The 19,818-nt window shown below is 40.5% G+C and overlaps 1 annotated feature.

Moving 5' to 3' along the window:
• Positions 16,872–18,071: an enhancer, noted in NCBI's record as "CDK7 strongly-dependent group 2 enhancer chr14:36416980-36418179 (GRCh37/hg19 assembly coordinates)". NCBI's record gives its function as "activates an origin of replication core promoter dependent on BRD2, BRD4, P300/CBP, MED14 and CDK7 cofactors, with strong dependence on CDK7, by STARR-seq in HCT116 cells {active_cell/tissue: HCT116}" and the evidence as "EXISTENCE:reporter gene assay evidence [ECO:0000049][PMID:35650434]".

The raw sequence follows: 19,818 nt of genomic DNA, 5'->3' as shown, positions 1-19,818 counted from the left end.
TTTCCTCACAACATCTGAAGTACAATATAGAAATTCATCCTTTTCTATATTGAAACTGGGCCTTTCCCCAAGATTTTTATTTTGCATTTAACAAAATAACAGCAAATATCAGGTATTAGAAGGATCGAAACAACCTCTTCTATTCTGTTGTCCTTAGAACACCATCTTTTATTCATAGCTTCTCTTGTGGTGCTGGGAGGCAGATTCTGTTGCTATAGCAACGCCCTGAATATCCTTGGGGATAGCTTACAGTTTTACTTTTTTTTTGAACAACAAAGAGCCATTGATACTACATGTTGCCAAAGGTTATAAAAGTTGAATTCTAAAATGAAAATATTTCTTCTATAGAAGTGGTACACCATATGTGTCCCACAAATTCAAAGAGATATGTAAGGATATGACCTTTGTGTGAACACTGATGAATCTAGTATAATACTGTTTGGATTCAATGGATTATTCACAGCAGAAGTAGTTGAAGTGTATGCCTTGTTTTCTAAGACCACTGTGGGGGATAAGGGGTTTATTCCCAGTATCTGTAAAGATCCAGGAGCAAGAAAAGATAAATAAATCAAAGGTCCCATCGCTTACATTTTGTTTGTTACTTTGTAATCACCTTCCCATCCCCACCCCCATCAAAATGAACTGCTATATCAAAATCCAATTACACTTTGACAGTAAATAGATCCTCAAAGAGTGGTTGCTACTGAATCCTTGCTCCTCAGAATAGATATTAAATGTACGAGATTCTCAAGTGCTCTGAAATCTGTATTCCTTGCTTCATTTTAACTGGATTCTCTTCATCTGTGAAAAAAAATTCCTTAGCTATCTGCTTTGTAAAACTAGGGAAAAAATTTCAAGTATTTCTTTCAAGATAAGTCAGCTCATCGCCCTAGAAACCTGAGGGGATGCACTGAGAAACACAAACGAAGAGTTGGAGGCACCACAGATTCATTTCCTGGAAAAACAGCCGTAAGAGCTTATAGAGGCTCAGGAGATGGGAATCTGGACTTTTCTCAATAATGGGAGAGAGTGATACATGCTGAAAATGTAGATAATACATTAGGATTGATCCCAATCTCCTCCACTCACCACAGCCTGCGCGAATTCACTGGAGTTAGAAGACCCTCCCAGCAGATCAAGAAAAACCCATGACCCAAGGCCATTCATTCATTCTTTCTTTCTTTTGTCAATATACTAAGTGCATGTTATGTCCCAAGCCAATCAAAGGCTTTCCAAATGCTTATTAAATGCCTGATTGTACTCTTGAAGAGTTAGTCTCTAATTCAATAAAGCCTTCGTTGGCACAGGTTCTATAGGTATAATATAGAGAACTTTATTAAAAATAACTGGTTTAGAGGGTAATCATAACTAGTAACAACAAACACACAGATTGTGTTTCTAAATACCGTTTCCCACTAAAAGGAACCAGGGTTACTTGGAGAAATGGCTGATTCCAAAAATGGTTGGAATAGGGAAAATACAAGGCAACCTGGAATATCTTGTTGTTCAAGAAAGCAAGAAAGTGCTTACATACTAATAGAGGCATGTCAAAAGGACACAAGAACTAATTTGAAGGAGCTCCCACTGTCCATATCTTGGACAATTTGATCATTAAAATGAATAATGACAGAGATAGATTATCACATTAAATAAAAAATAAATGCATGAGTCCATAGCAATACTTAGAAGAAAACAGGGCGGCAGAGATGGGGAGAAAAGAGAAGGAGGAGGAGGTAAGGGAAAAATAAAAGAAAGCTCCGCTTTACAGAAGAATACCAACTGTTATGGGCTGAATTACATCCCCACCAACATTTGTAGGTTAAAGCTTTAACCCCCAATGTGACTGTATTTGGAAAGAGGATCTTTAGGGAGGTAATTAAGGTTAAACGAGGCCCTAAGGATTGGGCCCTAATTCAACAGAACTGGTATCTTATAAGAAGAACACACCAAAGGGCTCTCTCATGCTTTCTCTCTCTCTCTCTCTCTCTCTCTCTACCCCCTTCTCTCCCCCCTCTCTCCCTCTCTCCCTCTTCCCCCCCATGCATATACACAGAGAAGAGATCCTGTGAGGACAAAGTGAGAAGGTGGCATCTATAAACCAGGAAGAGAGGCCACGCCAGAAACCAACCCTGGCAGCACATTGATCTTGACTTTCTAGCCTCCAGAACTATGAGAAAATAAATTTCCATTTACGCCACCCAGATTGTGGTGTTTCGTTTGGCAGCCCAAGCAGACTAATACACCAACTAAAAAATATTGAGGAAATGATAGAGTTAGAAAATCACCATTTTTCAACCACCAATGTAAAAATGATCAGTGGATACCAAAACCACTAGGTCAAAGATTATGGTTTTAAAATATGACCACATAGGTTAACTTTACAATAGGGAAATTAGGCATGACATTACCTTCCTAACCAAGCAATCAAACTTAGCATCATCAACAGTAGGACAGCCTGGTGTGTGCCTCCTGGTGGATCCAATAAGAAATACACATGACCTATCCAATAGTCTTGCAAAGAATGTTTAACCTGAGCCTAACTGTGAGAAAACAATCAGACAAATCCCCAAAGAGGAGACATTTTTGCAAGGCAACTGGCCTAGATCATTAAAACAGAGTCAATATCATAAATAAAAGAAGTCGTAGACCCCTTCTAGACTAAAAGTTTCTAAACATTACAACCACAGAATTAACCAACTTTCATAGGATCTTGGGTCAACAAAAGCACCTAAATAGATATATTGGGTATAACTGGGGAAATTTTTAATGGGCTGCATGTTAGATGACAAAACTGAATTCACATTAATTGTCTTCGGTATGAACAGTGTAATGGGTATATAGAAAATTGTCTTTACACTTAGATAGCGCAAACCAAAGTATCACTGGGTGAAGTATCACAATGTCTGCAACTTCAAGTGGTTCAATAATAACAGAAAAAGGATACATATATACATATATAAATAAATGGGGACCAGGCACAGTTGCTCACACCTATAATCCCAGCACTTTGGGAGGCCGAAGCAGGTGGATCGTTTGAGCTCAAGAGTTCAAGATCAGCCTGGACAACATGGTAAAAGCCCATCTCTACTAAAAATACAAAAATTAGCCGGGAGTGGTGGTGCACATCTGTGGTCCCAGCTACTCAGAAGGCTGAGGTGGTAGGATTGCTTGAGCCCAGGGGCAGCGCAGGTTTCAACGAGCCAAGATTGCGCTACTGCACTCTAGCCTGGGTGACAGAGTGAGACCCTGTCTCTAAATAAGTAAATAAATAAATAGGGAGCAAAATAAAGCAGAGGTAGTGAAATGTTAATAATTGATGGATGTAGTTGTAAAGGGTATACAATGTTCAATGTATTATTCTTTCAACTTTTCTGTGATTTAATTTTTTTTAATTTGCAGTTTAAAAAAATAATTAAGAAATATAACTATACTAAAGTGCTCAGAAACATTTTATGGCCTACAGTTCACTCTAGCTATTATCGACTATGCATCTACCGAGACCAAATGGTATAACCTAATGGTTAGCAAGCGTGGATATTTGTTCCCAACAGACCTGGGTTCAAAACTTGTCTCTCAGACTTTATACAAACAACAATATCTTTAAGGTTTAGTTTTTCTGCAGTGAAATGGGAATAATACCTAACTGATAAGCAGTTGAGAAGATTAAATGGGGCATATAAAATCTCAGGAGGCAATTATTATCACTGATGGTAGGAGGATAGGGATTGGAAGCTACACACTCTGGAAAGCAGTCTCCACTAAAACTATGACATCACTTACTAACAGTGAGTGACTGCATTATATTATTAGTAACCATTTTTGTGGCAAGAGTCTTTTCATCCAAATCAAAAGTTCCTTGAAGGCAAGAACCACGTCTTTCCTGATTTCTATATCTCCCAAAGAACCCTGTACAATGTTACACATGATAATATTTCATCTGTACGTTATGCCTGATCAGCACTTCTCAACTATGGCTGAACATTAGAATTGCCTGGGGAGGCTTTTAAAAAGTCCGATCCCTGAACCCCATCCCCAGATCATTTTTATTTTGTTGGTCTGAGGTAGGACTTGGGCCTCAAGTTTTTAAAAAAAATTCCCAGGGAGATTGTAAAAGGTTTATATTTTGTTTCTCCTTAGGGCAATGGCACAAGCCGTTGCTGCCAAATTTCCACCCGCCTTGGAGTAACCTGAAGTGTCAGATTAGGTAAATTTGTGTTTTAACATGTCAGCCTTCTCCCATGAGCTGCTAACTTCAGACCATTTGTAAGATCACCATCATGTAGGCTGTTAACATAAAACATGACAGGTTTGTGCTTTACTTTATCAAAATGTATAATTATACCTAATGCTGCTCTTTCTTCAGTTGACGAAAACTATAAAAGGCCTTTTCCTAAACCCCAAGTTTGGGTAAGTTTTCACAATAGAACAAGCATCCAAACAGCAGAAACGTGACAGTAACAGTGCATTAGTTGATAATGTGGACTTTCACAATTCAGAAAATAATTTCATTTGTGTCCCAGAGAAATCAAAACAGAGGGCAGAACACCTGAAGGATAAAAGAAGGAGATCTGTGGGACCAGAGGTCAGAATCAGTGAGCATAATAAGAAATGAGAACAAGAGCGTTTTATCACCTCCATCTAGCCAGCTGCCAATGTTGGCAAACAAGTTCCTAATATGAATGTACCCAGGCACTGGGCTGAAAGTTGAGCACGCTCCTCCCTGCATCTTCCACATGAAGGCCGCTGTGACCATGAGTCTTAGCTACAACTTGGTGGTCTGACATATCCATATACATTTTCCCTGCCCTTGGCTGTACATTTACTGACCTTGAACTACTGGGAAAGCATCATGTGTCATTAATATAGTAAAGAGAAAGGGCACTCATAGGGCATAATAAGATATAATTATAGGCCCGGCGTGGTGGCTCATGCCTGTAATCCCCGCACTTTGGGAGGCCGAGGCGGGTGGATCACCTGAGGTCAGGAGATCAAGCCCATCCTGGCTAACACGGTGAAACCTCGTCTCTACTAAAAATACAAAAAATTAGCTGGGCCTGTAATCCCAGCTACTCAGGAGGCTGAGGCAGGAGAATCACTTGAACCAGGGAGGCAGAGGTTGCAGTGAGCTGAGATCACACCACTGCACTCCAGCCTGGGCGACAGAGCGAGACTCCGTCTCAGAAAAAAAATAAAAATAAAAAAGATACAATTATAAATAAGACTTTGTTTCTTTAAAGGAACCAGGGCTAAACCATTTCTAAGAACTCTTTATCCAATTCCTTACTTAATAACCAAGTAACCATGGCCAAGTTACTTAGCTTTTCAAAGCTGAAGTTTCCCCATCTGTCAAACACAGATAGTAAAGTGCCTACTTCATAGGGTTGTTATGAGGATTAGAGAATGCATGTCAAATATTTAGTATGGTTTCTCACACATAGTATTATTAGCTAAATGGAAACTATTATTATATCTCTAATATAGTAATAAATCCAAACCCAGCAGATTCTTCGGTGGAAAAATAAAACAAAGATATGAACGCCCAAGTGAATTCCTATTTCCATTAATCTATATGATAAAAAGCTTAGATTTAGATAAAATTTCAGTAGATAATAATCTGATGATTTATCCCAACTTTGCTTTGGCAGTATCTTCAAACAAAATTTAGATATTTAAAGTCATTGTCCTTAAAAGAGACCCTAAAGATTCAATTACTTATTGAATAGACAGTTTCAAATTGTATAAACAAATTCTCATTTCTTCTAATCCTAAGCCATGCCCTCCAAAAACAATAACAAAGATGATGTTACAGTGTCTCCTAGTGGGCCCATTTTCACTCATTGCCAACACATGTGTGACTAATAGTAAAGCATTTGCAAGTAAATTTTTAACTAAAAAGAATAATTCAAATGAAATAAAACCATATTGGGCAAGACAACATGGAAGCACCATGCACTAACAGCTGGAAACTGAAGGTAAAAAAACATACATGGACTTGATTGGAGCAAAAGGAGTGATAATTTAGTGATTAGCTAGTGTAGGGGAGGAAAAAACTTTTCCCTCTCAGGTTCACTATTTGGGGGCCTATGAATTAAACTGGCAAAAGACAGATTAACAGGAGAAAAGCATAAATAGTTATTGAGTTCACATGTTATGTGTGAGGGGCTTCACAGAAAATAAGTAAAAACCCAAAGAAGCAGTTAGACAGGGGGCTTATATACCATTTTAAGAAAAGGCAATAAATTATAGAGAAGTGACTAGACAAAGGAAAGTGGGTTTGAGCTCCTAGGGGTGGTGTAATAAATTGTGGGAAGGTGACTAGGAAATATATGATGGATAAAGGTTGTTTAGAAAGGTTTGTTATGCACACTCTTCTCTGTGCCCTCTCTGGTCTTCCTGGAATGGGAGAGGGAAATGCTTTTACAAATAGCAATTTCTGTCACCTTTACAAAGAGAAATTTATGCCCTGCTTTTAGACAGAAGCAGGGAGGGCAAAGAACTTTTCCTGGGTCTGCTGTTTCTTCAGTTGCCTTCAGCTTAAAGTAATCCTTATGCCAAAGTGGTATTTTTGGGTGTGGCATATTCTGGACCTCTTCACTAAAAAACAACTGAAGCCTCAAGTTGAAGAATTTCCAGGAGAAGATTCTTCTAAGTAATACAACATAGGTGGAAAAAAGTATTTTGCCTACACATTTTGAAGTAGCCTAAAGGAGAAATATTAGAAGTGAACTAGATAAGATATGCCAAAAGAAAATTAAAGAGTTCTTATTATTACCAGAAAGTGGTCCCAATCCACACCCCAAGAGAGGGTTCTTGGATCTCATCCAAGAAAGAATTCCAGGCAAGTCTACAGGGTAAAGTGAAAGCAAATTTATCAGGAAAGTAAAGGAAGAAAAGAATGGCTACTCCATAGGCAGAGCGGCCCTAAGGGCTGCTGGTTGGTTATTTTTTTTCTGGATATTTCTTGATTATATGCTAAACAAGGGGTAGATTATTCATGAATTTTCCTGGAAAGCGGCAGGAATTTCCTGGAATTGAGGGTCCCTCCCTATTTTAGACCATATAGGGTAACTTCTGGGTGTTGCCATGGCATTTGTAAACTGGCATGGCACTGGTGGGAGTGTTGCTTAGCATGCTAATCCATTGTAATTAGCATATAATGAGCAGCAAGGATGACCATAGGTCAGTTTTGTAACCATGTGTTTTTGGCTGGTTTCTTTATCGCATCCTGTTTTATCAGCAAGGTCTTTGTGACCTATATCTTGAGCGGAGCTCCTATCTCATCCTGTGACTAAGAATGCCTAACCACCTAGAATGCGACCCAGCAGGTCTCAGCCTCATTTTACCCAGCCCCTATTAAAGATGGAGTCACTTTGGTTCAAACACCTCTGACAGTATGAAGGTAAGAGAAAGGGAACTGACTTAAAAAATTCTCAAAAAGGCAAAGCTAGATTGTCTCAAAGGTTTGTTTTTGGGGAACGGCCACTTTTGATGTTGTTCTTGTTAGCTTTTACTAGAGCTTTAAACAGTTAGGGAAATATTTACTAGAAGTATCATAACAGATATGTATGCAGCATATAAATCTATTTTACGTTTATTAAATTTAACATGCAGAACAAATCATAAATTTAAGGATTCTAGCCCCTTAATGAGAAACGACTTATAACTGCTCTAATGAAACAATTCCCATAACAAGATGAAGTGTTACTTTTAAATCCAGGTGCTGGGTGGGCCATTGGCAGCCTGCTAAACCTCTGTAGGCTTCAATAACACTATGGATACAACAGAAGAGCTAGGTTAAATGGACCCTGAAGTCCTCTCCTCCATGAAGTTGTTTCAATATAAATGGATATGACTCTTGTTAAAACGTGTCTCTTCCTTTACCCTCGGCCACACTTTTTAAATTGTATCTCTTCCTCAAAAAAATAGTTGCATTATGCATGATGGGATAAAAAACACATTTTCTTCCCTTTTCCTTTTATAAAAAGAACTGGATTATAGGTATTTTTAGGTTCCCCAAATCTCATAACGCCAACATTTTGAACATTTTAAAATATATTGCTATCTCAAGAAGCTGTAAAGTTTTTAACCAAGTCCTAATAATTAAACTTGGTTTGGAATGAATTACTAGGTTGGTGCAAAAGTAATTGCGATTTTTGCCATTACTTTTGCACCAACCTAATATTAGTATAGTTATTTAAATGCCATTTGGAAAAATTGCAGAATGCTTTTCAAACTTCATATGCATCTAAGTATTAGCTCTCTGGATATTTGCACAGATCACATTGAGTACAAGGGACTAATATATCTCCCACAGAAATGTATACCTCAACAAGCAAGAGCATGGGATTAATTCGAGTTAAGCATGCTATTACTGACCATGTTCATAGATCCCAAACTGATTTCTTAAACTTTTCCAGTGATGCTTTTCCTTTATCTTTTTGCAAAATTTCATACTTACATTTTTTATCCTATATCTTAGAGTAAAAAAGTTTTGAAATTATGCTAATGTATTAAAGTTATAATCCTAAACATGCAAAAGTTCTGGCTCTCAAAGAACATTTTCTAGTCCCTAAGAGCTTGAAAGTAGCTCAGAGGACCAGCAGTAGGGGGAATGTTGCCCGTGATCACCTTTCACTTTTAAGCATGCTTTTTCCAGTTCAATTTTGCCCTTTCTTTTCATTCTAGTTATTTGGGGCCTTTTCTAAGTACTGTCAAATAGGAAATTACCACAAAGACAAGTGGAAGAAAAAACATTTTAAAAATAACTTCACACACCACCTGCAATTCTAGTAAATGCCTCACTCTCAGAGTGTGCGGGCATTTGGAGATTTCCCTCAAATCAGCTGTGCTGCCCCACCACAGGGATCGGTCGGTGTTCCCTTTTCAGCTCAGTAATCAAATAGCTTTGACTGGTCCGTGTCTGCTTTTGTCCACTTCTGACCTACGTGTTCCTGTGAGGGACATCTTTGTCTCACTTTTCTTTGGTCACTGAGTTCATGTACCTCAATAGGCTAAGTCTTGCAGTCCATTAATGAGAATTCTCAGCTCAGCTCTAGGCCACCCAGAAACCCCGGTTGCATGTTCTCGCTGAATGGCTTCACTGGTGGCCCATTCAAATGTGCTAATGTCAGAAAAAAAGGTTGAATGGGGCACCAATGTACACCATTGCCGAAGCAAAGTGACTGCGGCTTCCAACAAAGCTTCCGCTGTGGCGATGTTAAGCAGAGTTATCAATGGTGCGGAGGCTGAGCAAGGACTAATGCTCCAATCATGCCATCCACAGGTGGCACAGATGCAGCCACTTCAATATGAAATCACAGTGCAAAGTTCACTGGCAATTCAATCCTGCCTCCAGCTTCCAATCTCCAGATACATTGTGTAGATATGCCTCCTTCTCTTTCTGGTTCTGAGGCTCTTTGAATAAGTTTGCAGAAGACATTTTGGGTGAGAGATGAAGTGAGCGTTTGTTCCAATTTTTCTTAGAGTTACACCTCCAGTTGAGAAGCTTTCTTAAAGCCGTTTATTTCCTCATGGATGTACAGAAGCAGATAAAGCATTTTCTCGGGGCTTATCCCAGAAGCACTAAAAGGGCATTTGAGCTCAGCAAAGGAATGTTTTGATTGTGCAAAACAGATGTCACATTATGGCCGCATATTGCTACTTCTCATAAGAGAACATCTTGAATCACAACTAAATTATGAAGAGGTGATGACCAAACCAATTCTGTAGCCCCTCTTCCCCTAATCACGGCAAATGAAAGAAAAAAGATGATGGACCAGCTCCCAAGTTTTCCTTCTAAACAGATATTTCTGGGAAGACACATAAAAGGAACTGAAAAGTTAGGATTTTTATAATTTTAAAATTCACTTTAAGACCCCTGAGTTTCTGAATTATTCACAAATATACATGATTCCCACACATTCACATGGAAGAATAGCCCAAAATTAGAGTCCCACTATCATCCAAACTTTACATCAAGACGAACCAGTACTGAAGCCTCCCAGATTCCTAATCCTTAATTGCTGGTGAGAGTCTGCAGAGCAAGGTCATTTGCATGACAACCTCAGCCTTCTCAGAGGGCCCAAGATTTTGCTTGGCTACTCACTACAAGTCAAAATATACAGAAGTAATATATAAAATATACTACTTTAGTTCTTCAGCTCCTTGAAAACCATTTCTCCACTCCCAAATGAAAAATAGCATACAAAAAAAAGTATAGCATATCTTATCACCTCAGCTAACTTTTCAAAGTTATAATTTTACTGGAAGATAAAGTCCAAAGCATACAGTGTACATACACACACACACATGAACTCAACCCACATGGATTATTATTATTATTATTATTATTATTATTTAGATGGAGTCTCACTCTGTCACCCAGGCTGGAGTGCAGTGGCGTGATCTTGGCTCACTGCAACCTCCGCCTCCTGGGTTCAAGCGATCCTCCTGCCTCAGCCTCCCAAGTAGCTGGGACTACAGGTGCATGCCACCACGCCGGGCTAGTTTTTATATTTTTAGTAGAGACGGGGTTTCACCATGTTGGTCAGCATGGTTTTGAGCTCTTGACCTCGTGCTCTGCCCGCCTTGGCCTCCCAAAGTTGAGATTACAGGCGTGAGCCACAGTGCCCAGCCATGATTTTTTAAATATTCCAGAATGATAACACTGGGGAACTCCCAACTAAAGAGTAGGCCCCAAGAACTTGTTCTGATCTCGTTTAAAGACGAATGATTTTCATGGAGGGAATTCTCAGGGACCCACATCGTCTATCTGACCCTGCACAGGGGCCCTCCTGGTGCCTCACTGTATCTGGTCACCAAGCCAGCAGCTGGTGCTGGGCAGCTCTCATACAGGAGCTTCCTTTTAAGACTTCAGCTCCAAGGTGTCTCCACACAATCCTCTCGCTCACATATGTTAAAGTCTTATGGGGAATCATATTCCAGGTCAGCAGTTCTAGGCCCAAGAGGGAAAGAGACAGGTGCCCCAAAGCCACTAACTAGCCCTAAGAATTTTTTTTTTCTTTCTCTTTTGCAGGCATATAAAAGAAGGTTTCTCCCTCACTATTCCTCGCCTTCTAATTCTAGTAAGTTTTTCCTACTATTTTCCTCAAGCTAGATTAATTATGAAGCAAGAAGGTCTTATAAATTATTTGTGATTTTTAATGTAATGTCACATTCATTTTCCCCTAATTTTTCATAATGAAAATGAATTAATTTTATACTTAGAAAAAGTTATTTTTTAAATAATAAAGTTAATCTTTGATCTTTCACTCCTCAGAAATGGAATTTTGCCATCAATTCGCTAAGAAAATTAAATATTTTCATGTCATGTTAGTAAGAGAAACAACTGGCTAATTTTTATTTTGTACTTACTCTTACCAGTTTATTATGAAGGATACAACTCAGGAGCAGCTAAATGAAGAGATGCTGAGGGCAAGGCACACTCTGCGTGCACCACCTTCCTAGCGCCTCATTGTGGTCACAGACGTAGATGCTTCCACCTGGCTAGTGGAAGCAGCTATTTATTTGGAAAGAAAATCCAAATTACACAATCAAGGGAAAAAAATTCTTTTTTCTCTCTCCATAATTTCCTTCTTTATTAATCATACTTCACCCAAAGCTATTTAAGATTTTATAAACTTAAATTTTATTTTATTTTATTTGAGTCAGGGTTTGGCTTGTTGCCCAGGCTGGAGTGCAGTAATGCGATCTCAGCTCACTGAAACATTCACCTCCCAGGCTCAAGCGATTCTCCTGCCTCAGCCTCCTGAGTAGCTGGGACTACAGGCGCCTCCCTACCTGGCTCATTTTTGTAGTTTTTTGTAAAGACAGGGTTTCGCCATGTTGCCCAGGCGGGTCTGGAACTCCTGAGCTCAAGGGATCCACCTGCCACAACCTCCCAAAGTGCTGGGATAATAGGCCTGACCCACAGCACCAGCCTAAACTTAAAGTTTTTAAATCTATGGCTTCTTAGTGGGACCTGAAGGCTGCATGACCATCCTTCACATAAACAGCTCAATTTAGAAGCCAGAAGGATTAGTATGTATTCTAAAGTGCAAAAATAGCATAGATCATTTAAGTGGGGTAGCATCTGAGGGTATTTAGGTCTTGGTCCAGGAAACTGCAACCAAGGGATGCCCTGGCTTACCCATTTGGGTTATTCTGGCATATTTCTGTAGAGAAAGAGAAATATCTTTCCCTCACCCATTCGATGATCACGGCTGAGTCCCCCCATAACAAAAGAAGAATTAACAAGAGAAAAGCATACACATTTACTTAATATCACTTTTGCAGAACACGGGAGCCTTCATAAGGAAATGAAGACTAGAAGAAAGTGGTAAACCTTTATAATTTTTAAGTTTGACAAACAAGTCGAGAGTCACGAAGACATGATTGGATAAAAAGTATGATCTAATTTAATAAATGGGGGTGGGGAGTACTTAGCAAGACCTGTTTGTTCAGATTCTTCTCTGTGTTCCTGTGTCTTCAGAGGTAAGGATGTTCCTTTCCTCCTGGTAGAGGAAGGGCACCTCTCAAATGAGTGTCTTATGACCCTCTTCAGAGGAAAATCAGAAAACCCTTCCAGGTTTTCTTACCTGCTTCAGGGGAAGAACGCAGACGGGGTGAGAATGACTTCCTTGCTTCTGCTGTTTTCTCAAATGCCAAGGTGCGATATTTTGGAGTACCATGTCCTGAACCCCATCATTGCCAAATAGAGAATGTAATGGTCGCTTTTTACAAAATAAACATAACTGAAAACCGGATTGGGTTAGAATCTTGCCACCTGGCTTGCATTATTTCTTTTATCCTTATTTTTTATGCAGATAAGCTTAAGAAGTCAGACCTTAAATGGCATTTTTTTAAAGGTGCCTCTGGATTTTACTTTCTTCAGTGGCTCTAAAGAAGCTCCACAATTGTCCAGAAAGAATGGGCCAATACACAGCTGTCCCTTTGTTTATAATTCCTTCCCTCCTCCCTGTGGTCTCCTTTCCTGCAGTCCCTCCCCCAGTGGCCCAAACTTTGCTTTTGAAGGCATCCTTGACTTCAGAGAAGTTAGACCATGTCGTGAATGTCTCTTCCTTCTCTAAGGCAGGCTAATAGAGATAATGGGCCCTGTGGGAGACAAGAAGCCAAAGAAAGAGAAGGGTTCCTTTGGATACTTAAGGGAATTATTGACAAGGCTCAGCCGACTCAAACTCACAAATTAAAAAAATAAAAAGCAGCTGAGGTCGTTCTGCTAGGTCTTTTATGCAATCAAGTGAAATAAAGTGTGCTGACTTTTGGGTGGGGGGTTCATAAGGGAGATCGGAGAGGGGAGTAATTTAATTTCTTAAATCTTGCATATGCCACATACTGAAGATTCTAAATAAATTTTTTGGCTAATTGAAACTATTAGTTGAGACTACACCCAGAAAAAGTTACTAGCATTTTGTTCACTGGACAGAAATTAAACAAAGGATGAATTTTACTTAAGCGAGGAAAAGTCAATATCAATCATTTGATAAGGGTTAGAAAGCAAGCACTTAAATGCTATTGTAGGAAGAATCAGAAAGGATTTAGCCGAAATCCCTTGTTTTTCCCACCAGCCTATGTTTTTCCCTGAAGATAGACAAAGGACAAAGTTACTTTCCCAATTTCCCTAATTTCAGTAAAGAACTCTTTGCCAGATTCTTCTGGTGTTGTTTTCAAGCCCTTAAAGTGTGGCCTTTTCTGTGCATGGACTAGATTTTATGTGCAGGAACTCAAGGATGGGAATACATCCACCAACGCGTCTCCTCAGAGCAAAATCTGCCTCCATTAACTTTAAAGCTGAAACTCAATAACTCTTGTTCTTACTGGATCCTAACTCCAAAAATTCACTCACACCTACCCCCTCCTTTCCAAAGAATGACTAAATTGGGAGGCTGGGACAGAAACATTCCAAATAAGAATCAATCATTACATTGGTTCCAATTCTTCCTCTACGGTTACAAGGTGAGGAAGGTGTTGATGATACTGGTGAGGGCTGCATGACTGTCCTTCACATGAACAGCTCAATTTAGAAGGCAGAAGGATTAGTATATATCCCAAAGTACAAAAATAGCATAGATCATATTTGAGGCATTAATACAAATATACATAGTAAACATTCTCCTGTGTACTTTGTTATTGTTATTACAGATATTGTTTTGGGTTTTTTTGTTTGTTTGTTTGTTTGAGACGGAGTCTTGCTCTGTCGCCCAGGCTGGAGTGTAGTGGCATGATCTCGACTCACTGCAACCTCCACCTCCCAGGTTCAAGTGATTCTTCTGCCTCAGCCTCCCGAGTAGCTGGGACTACAGGCGTGCACCACCACGCCCAGCTAATTTTTGTATTTTCAGTAGAGATGGGGTTTCACCACGTTGGCCAGGCTGCTCTCGATCTCTTGACCTCGTGATCCACCCGCCTCGGCCTCCCAAAGTGCTGGGATTACAGGCATGAGCCACCACACCCAGCCACAAATATTGTTTTTATGAAAAAAAAAATCATATTTATTTTTTACCTGTCTTCTTTTTGACCCTAGTGCAGAATTAGTCTGGCATTGTGTGCACTCTACTCCTAGGAGGCAAATCCCTTCATTGAAAGAAAATCTTGCTCCAAGTATTCCACACTCAGTTACTAGATAAAGAGAACTAGCTGAGAAAGATGTATAGAAGGTATTTTAGGTCAACACAACAAATTCCATATATGCACATGGGCAGATCTATATCTCAGAGCAGAAACATTCCATAGAAGATCTATTCCTTTATGGAATAACTTTTCTCCCTCCTGCCTACTAAGCTTCCAAACAAGCATCCAGCTTTCTTTTCTTCTCCAACGAACGACATTTGCATTGTAGAATCACTTTTCAGCAAGACATACATGGAGTTTGAGTTTTAAAAGCAAGTGTCAATTGAAACAATTTATTGTACACAAATTTTAATTGTCTTTAAGGAAGGAAAGTCAATTATGTCAAGATCCCTAGCAAACCTACCACCTAGTGACATGATGCATATTTGGCTACACTTCCAGCACTTGTCATAAGCTGCAGACGCCATCTTCCTGGACCGCTTTTGAAGTTGTAATGTTTTTGCACTTCAAAGAGGTACCAAGACAACAGTAGGAATGAAGAGAGTGGGTCCTATTCCCCAATTCAGAAAATGTCAGACATAGTTTATGAACCTACATGGCTTTCTATTTCATCATCAAAATCTTCCTCACCAAAGGATTAAAACTAGCTAGAGCACAGTGGATTGCATTTATTAATATGGTCTATTGAAGACTTTGACATAAAATATTTAGCAATGAATTCTCTATATCAACTGAAGAATTCTCTACACCTTTTTAATGGGGGTGGCAAAAATAAATAGTAGGGCCCTTAACAAAATTATTTCAAATCTATCACCTTCTTTCTTTGTAGCATTCTTGAAAGACTCTACCATCATCAAATGACCCTTCTGTGCTCTTGAATTCCACTGGCAAGAGCTACATAGCTCCTGGGTTAACTCTAAGTAATAAATTAACAAATCTGAGTAAGATTTATGTATTTAAAAATCAACAGCTCTGACTTCACTGCTCAGTACAATTTTCTATATTGTAAGGCCCGATAAAGTTTTTAATCTTTTAACAACTTACAAAGTAAACAGTGACTGGCACCCAAACCTGAAAGAAAGCCAGCAGCAGGTCTAATGAAAATCATGCAGAGAGCCCATCAGACATTAAGTAAATACTCTGCTTCTGTTTTCCAGTCCCTTTTTGTTTGGTTACCATGGTGACCTCTTTTTGTGGGGGTAACTTGGAATGTATAAGGATTTGCTACAATTAGATGCTTGTGTACTATTGGCCAGTATGACACAGATAGTTTCTTTTCTTAAACTAAAAAGAAATAAAAGAGAAGAAAAGACACTGGTGAATGTGGAAAAAGCCAACAGGCACTTTGGCAACCAAAGAAAAATTTTGTAAGCCTACTTATCTTTCAGAACTGTTTTCACAGTTGCTCTTAATAAAAATGTCCATCTCTCCCAGCCTGTGATTACTCTCCATATCCCCCAGCCTGTGATTTCTCTCCATCTCTCCCACTTGTGATTTCTCTCCATATCCTCCAGCCTGTGATTTCTCTCCATATCCTCCAGCCTGTGATTACTCTCCATATCCCCCAGCCTGTGATTTCTCTCCATCTCTCCCAGCCTGTGATTTCTCTCCATATCCTCCAGCCTGTGATTTCTCTCCATATCCTCCAGCCTGTGATTACTCTCCATATCCCCCAGCCTGTGATTTCTCTCCATCTCTCCCAGCCTGTGATTTCTCTCCATATCCTCCAGCCTGTGATTTCTCTCCATATCCTCCAGCCTGTGATTACTCTCCATATCCCCCAGCCTGTGATTTCTCTCCATCTCTCCCAGCCTGTGATTTCTCTCCATATCCTCCAGCCTGTGATTTCTCTCCATATCCTCCAGCCTGTGATTACTCTCCATATCCTCCAGCCTGTGATTTCTCTCCATATCCTCCAGCCTGTGATTACTCTCCATATCCTCCAGCCTGTGATTTCTCTCCATATCCTCCAGCCTGTGATTACTCTGCATATCCTCCAGCCTGTGATTACTCTCCATATCCTCCGGCCTGTGATTACTCTCCATATCCTCCAGCCTGTGATTTCTCTCCATATCCTCCAGCCTGTGATTACTCTCCATATCCTCCAGCCTGTGATTACCCTCCGTGTCCTCCGGCCTGTGATTACTCTCCATATCCTCCAGCCTGTGATTTCTCTCCATATCCTCCAGCCTGTGATTTCTCTCCATATCCTCCAGCCTGTGATTACTCTCCATATCCTCCAGCCTGTGATTTCTCTCCATATCCTCCAGCCTGTGATTTCTCTCCATATCCTCCAGCCTGTGATTACTCTCCATATCCTCCAGCCTGTGATTACTCTCCATATCCTCCAGCCTGTGATTACTCTCCATATCCTCCAGCCTGTGATTACTCTCCGTGTCCTCCGGCCTGTGATTTCTCTCCATATCCTCCAGCCTGTGATTACCCTCCATATCCTCCGGCCTGTGATTTCTCTCCATGTCCTCCGGCCTGTGATTTCTCTCCATATCCTCCGGCCTGTGATTACTCTCCATATCCTCCAGCCTGTGATTACTCTCCATATCCTCCAGCCTGTGATTACTCTCCGTGTCCTCCGGCCTGTGATTTCTCTCCATATCCTCCAGCCTGTGATTTCTCTCCATATCCTCCGGCCTGTGATTTCTCTCCGTGTCCTCCGGCCTGTGATTTCTCTCCATATCCTCCGGCCTGTGATTACCCTCCATATCCTCCGGCCTGTGATTTCTCTCCATATCCTCCGGCCTGTGATTTCTCTCCGTGTCCTCCGGCCTGTGATTACCCTCCGTGTCCTCCGGCCTGTGATTACCCTCCGTGTCCTCCGGCCTGTGATTACCCTCCGTGTCCTCCGGCCTGTGATTTCTCTCCATATCCTCCAGCCTGTGATTACCCTCCATATCCTCTGGCCTGTGATTACTCTGCATATCCTCCAGCCTGTGATTACTCTCCATATCCTCCGGCCTGTGATTTCTCTCCGTGTCCTCCGGCCTGTGATTACCCTCCGTGTCCTCCGGCCTGTGATTACCCTCCGTGTCCTCCGGCCTGTGATTTCTCTCCATGTCCTCCGGCCTGTGATTACCCTCCGTGTCCTCCGGCCTGTGATTACCCTCCGTGTCCTCCGGCCTGTGATTACTCTCCGTGTCCTCTGGCCTGTGATTACTCTCCATATCCTCCAGCCTGTGATTTCTCACCTTCTTGACCTTCCCAACTATTCCTTAGCTGTAACACATATACTGCACTTCATTTTACTTTCGTTATTCAATCATTGTTTTATGGATATGTCTTATCCCTTTAGGAGATTGCAAAAGTCCTTCAGGGCAGCGACCACATCTTCTACTTTTGAGGCAGTGTGATACAATGAAGAAACCATGGAAGTGGAATTAGATTCAAACAATTGTGGTCTAGGTTCTGAAACCAATTAGTCGTTCAGTATTTAGATAAGTCTCTTTAACTTCACTGAGCCTCTGTTTCCATATGATAAGATTCATGCCCATAAATGTGTAATAATTGGATTATTTTATACTGTCTATTAAACCTGTGGTATGTATTTACTATTTTTTTTTTATTTTGCAATGGGGTTTCGCTATGTTGCCCAGGCTGGTCTTGAACTCCTGGCCTCAAGCAATCCTCCCACCTCAGCCTCCCAAAGTGCTGAGATTACAGGCATGAATCACTGCACCTGGCCATGTTTACTATTTATATCCTGAATTAAGTTTAATCGATTCAATATTGTAGTTTAAAATTCTGTCTCAGGCAGCCCTAAATATATGGAAGATTAAGACAACTGCCTCTGCTCCCAAACCCAAGAGACTTTATCACTTTGTTATGGATTCTCAGACCACAAATTTTAAATCCGTGGTTGGGCAGGGTGAGGATAGACTACTTCTAAGACGAAAAAAGGAAGCAAGTTAGTTGTCTGTAGTTACAAAGAAAAATAAGAGCATCGGTACAAGCTCAAAGACTTTCTTAGCCTTCAGTGTCACCTGACTCATGAGAAAGCAAAACAGCATTACTATTGTGTCTCACCTAGATCCAGAGACTCAGAATGACAGAGGGATTGTTTACTTAAAATATCCTCACTGCTTTTCTTTCAAACAGTATCTATTAAAGTTTAGACCTATCACTAGACATATCAAAGGGGTTCAAATCTCAGCTAGATTGTTGTGCAGTCCAAAGATTATCTAAATTCTTCTTCACTCACTGTGATCACTCCAGATGCTTTAAGCCCTTGTTCAGCCTGCTCAAGGAAGTTACCCATTCAGGCTATTTCAACATCTTCAGCGGTGAGAAACTCACCATACTTCAAAGCTATTCATCCCATGTTCAAGCAGCTCTAATTGTTAAATAATTCTTCCTTATATTAGAACCAAATCCCTCTTCTCTGCTATTCTATACTTTGGTCTCAGGCTACAATTGCTCTGGGATTGTTTGCAATTCTTTCCTTCTGGGTACACATCAGTTTTCCAAATCCTTCTTCAAGACACTCACAGAGCTAAACACAGTCCTCTACTCTGGTCGACCAATGCAGTGCCACTTCCATAGTTAATTCAACAGTATGACTGTGTTCCTGTTGAGGGCTACATGCCCGAGATGTGAAGATAAATTAGACAATATCTTTGGTTTTAAGGAGATGAAGGTCTATAAGTGGAGCCAGCTTGGTGTGATGGCTCACGCCTGTAATCCCAGCACTTTGGGAGGCCAAGACAGGTGGATCACGAGGTCAGGAGTTCGAGACCAGCCTGACCAATATGCTAAAACCCCGTCTCTACTAAAAATACAAAAATTAGCTGGGCATGGGGGCGCACGCCTGTAGTCCCAGCTACACAGGAGGCTGAGGCAGAAGAATCGCTTGAACCCAGGAGGTGGAGGTTGCAGTGAGCCGAGATCACGCCACTACTATCTACTCCAGCCTGGTGACAGAGCAGGACTCCATCTCAAAAAAAAAAAAAAAAAAGGAGCCAAGAAGGTTAGCAAATATGTCCAACAGAAGGGTTAAGGTCTAAGGAGGAAAGTACTGTAGTGTTCCAAAAAGGATGTTTTCAGTTCTCCCTCAGGCGTGGGAAAGGACCAGCAAGTTTCATGGAGGAGGTGTTACTGGACAGTCCAAAGAAAGAGCATTCCAAGCAGAAGCAATTATAAGTGAAGGTTCTGCCATACGCTTCAACATGATCAATTCAACTTCAAAAAGTTCATATTGACCAAAACGCAAGGTATGAG

The sequence above is a fragment of the Homo sapiens genome, chromosome 14 (assembly GCF_000001405.40).
Source record: "Homo sapiens chromosome 14, GRCh38.p14 Primary Assembly".
Lineage (NCBI taxonomy): Eukaryota > Metazoa > Chordata > Mammalia > Primates > Hominidae > Homo > Homo sapiens.
This window is presented reverse-complemented; position numbering and strand designations above follow the sequence as displayed.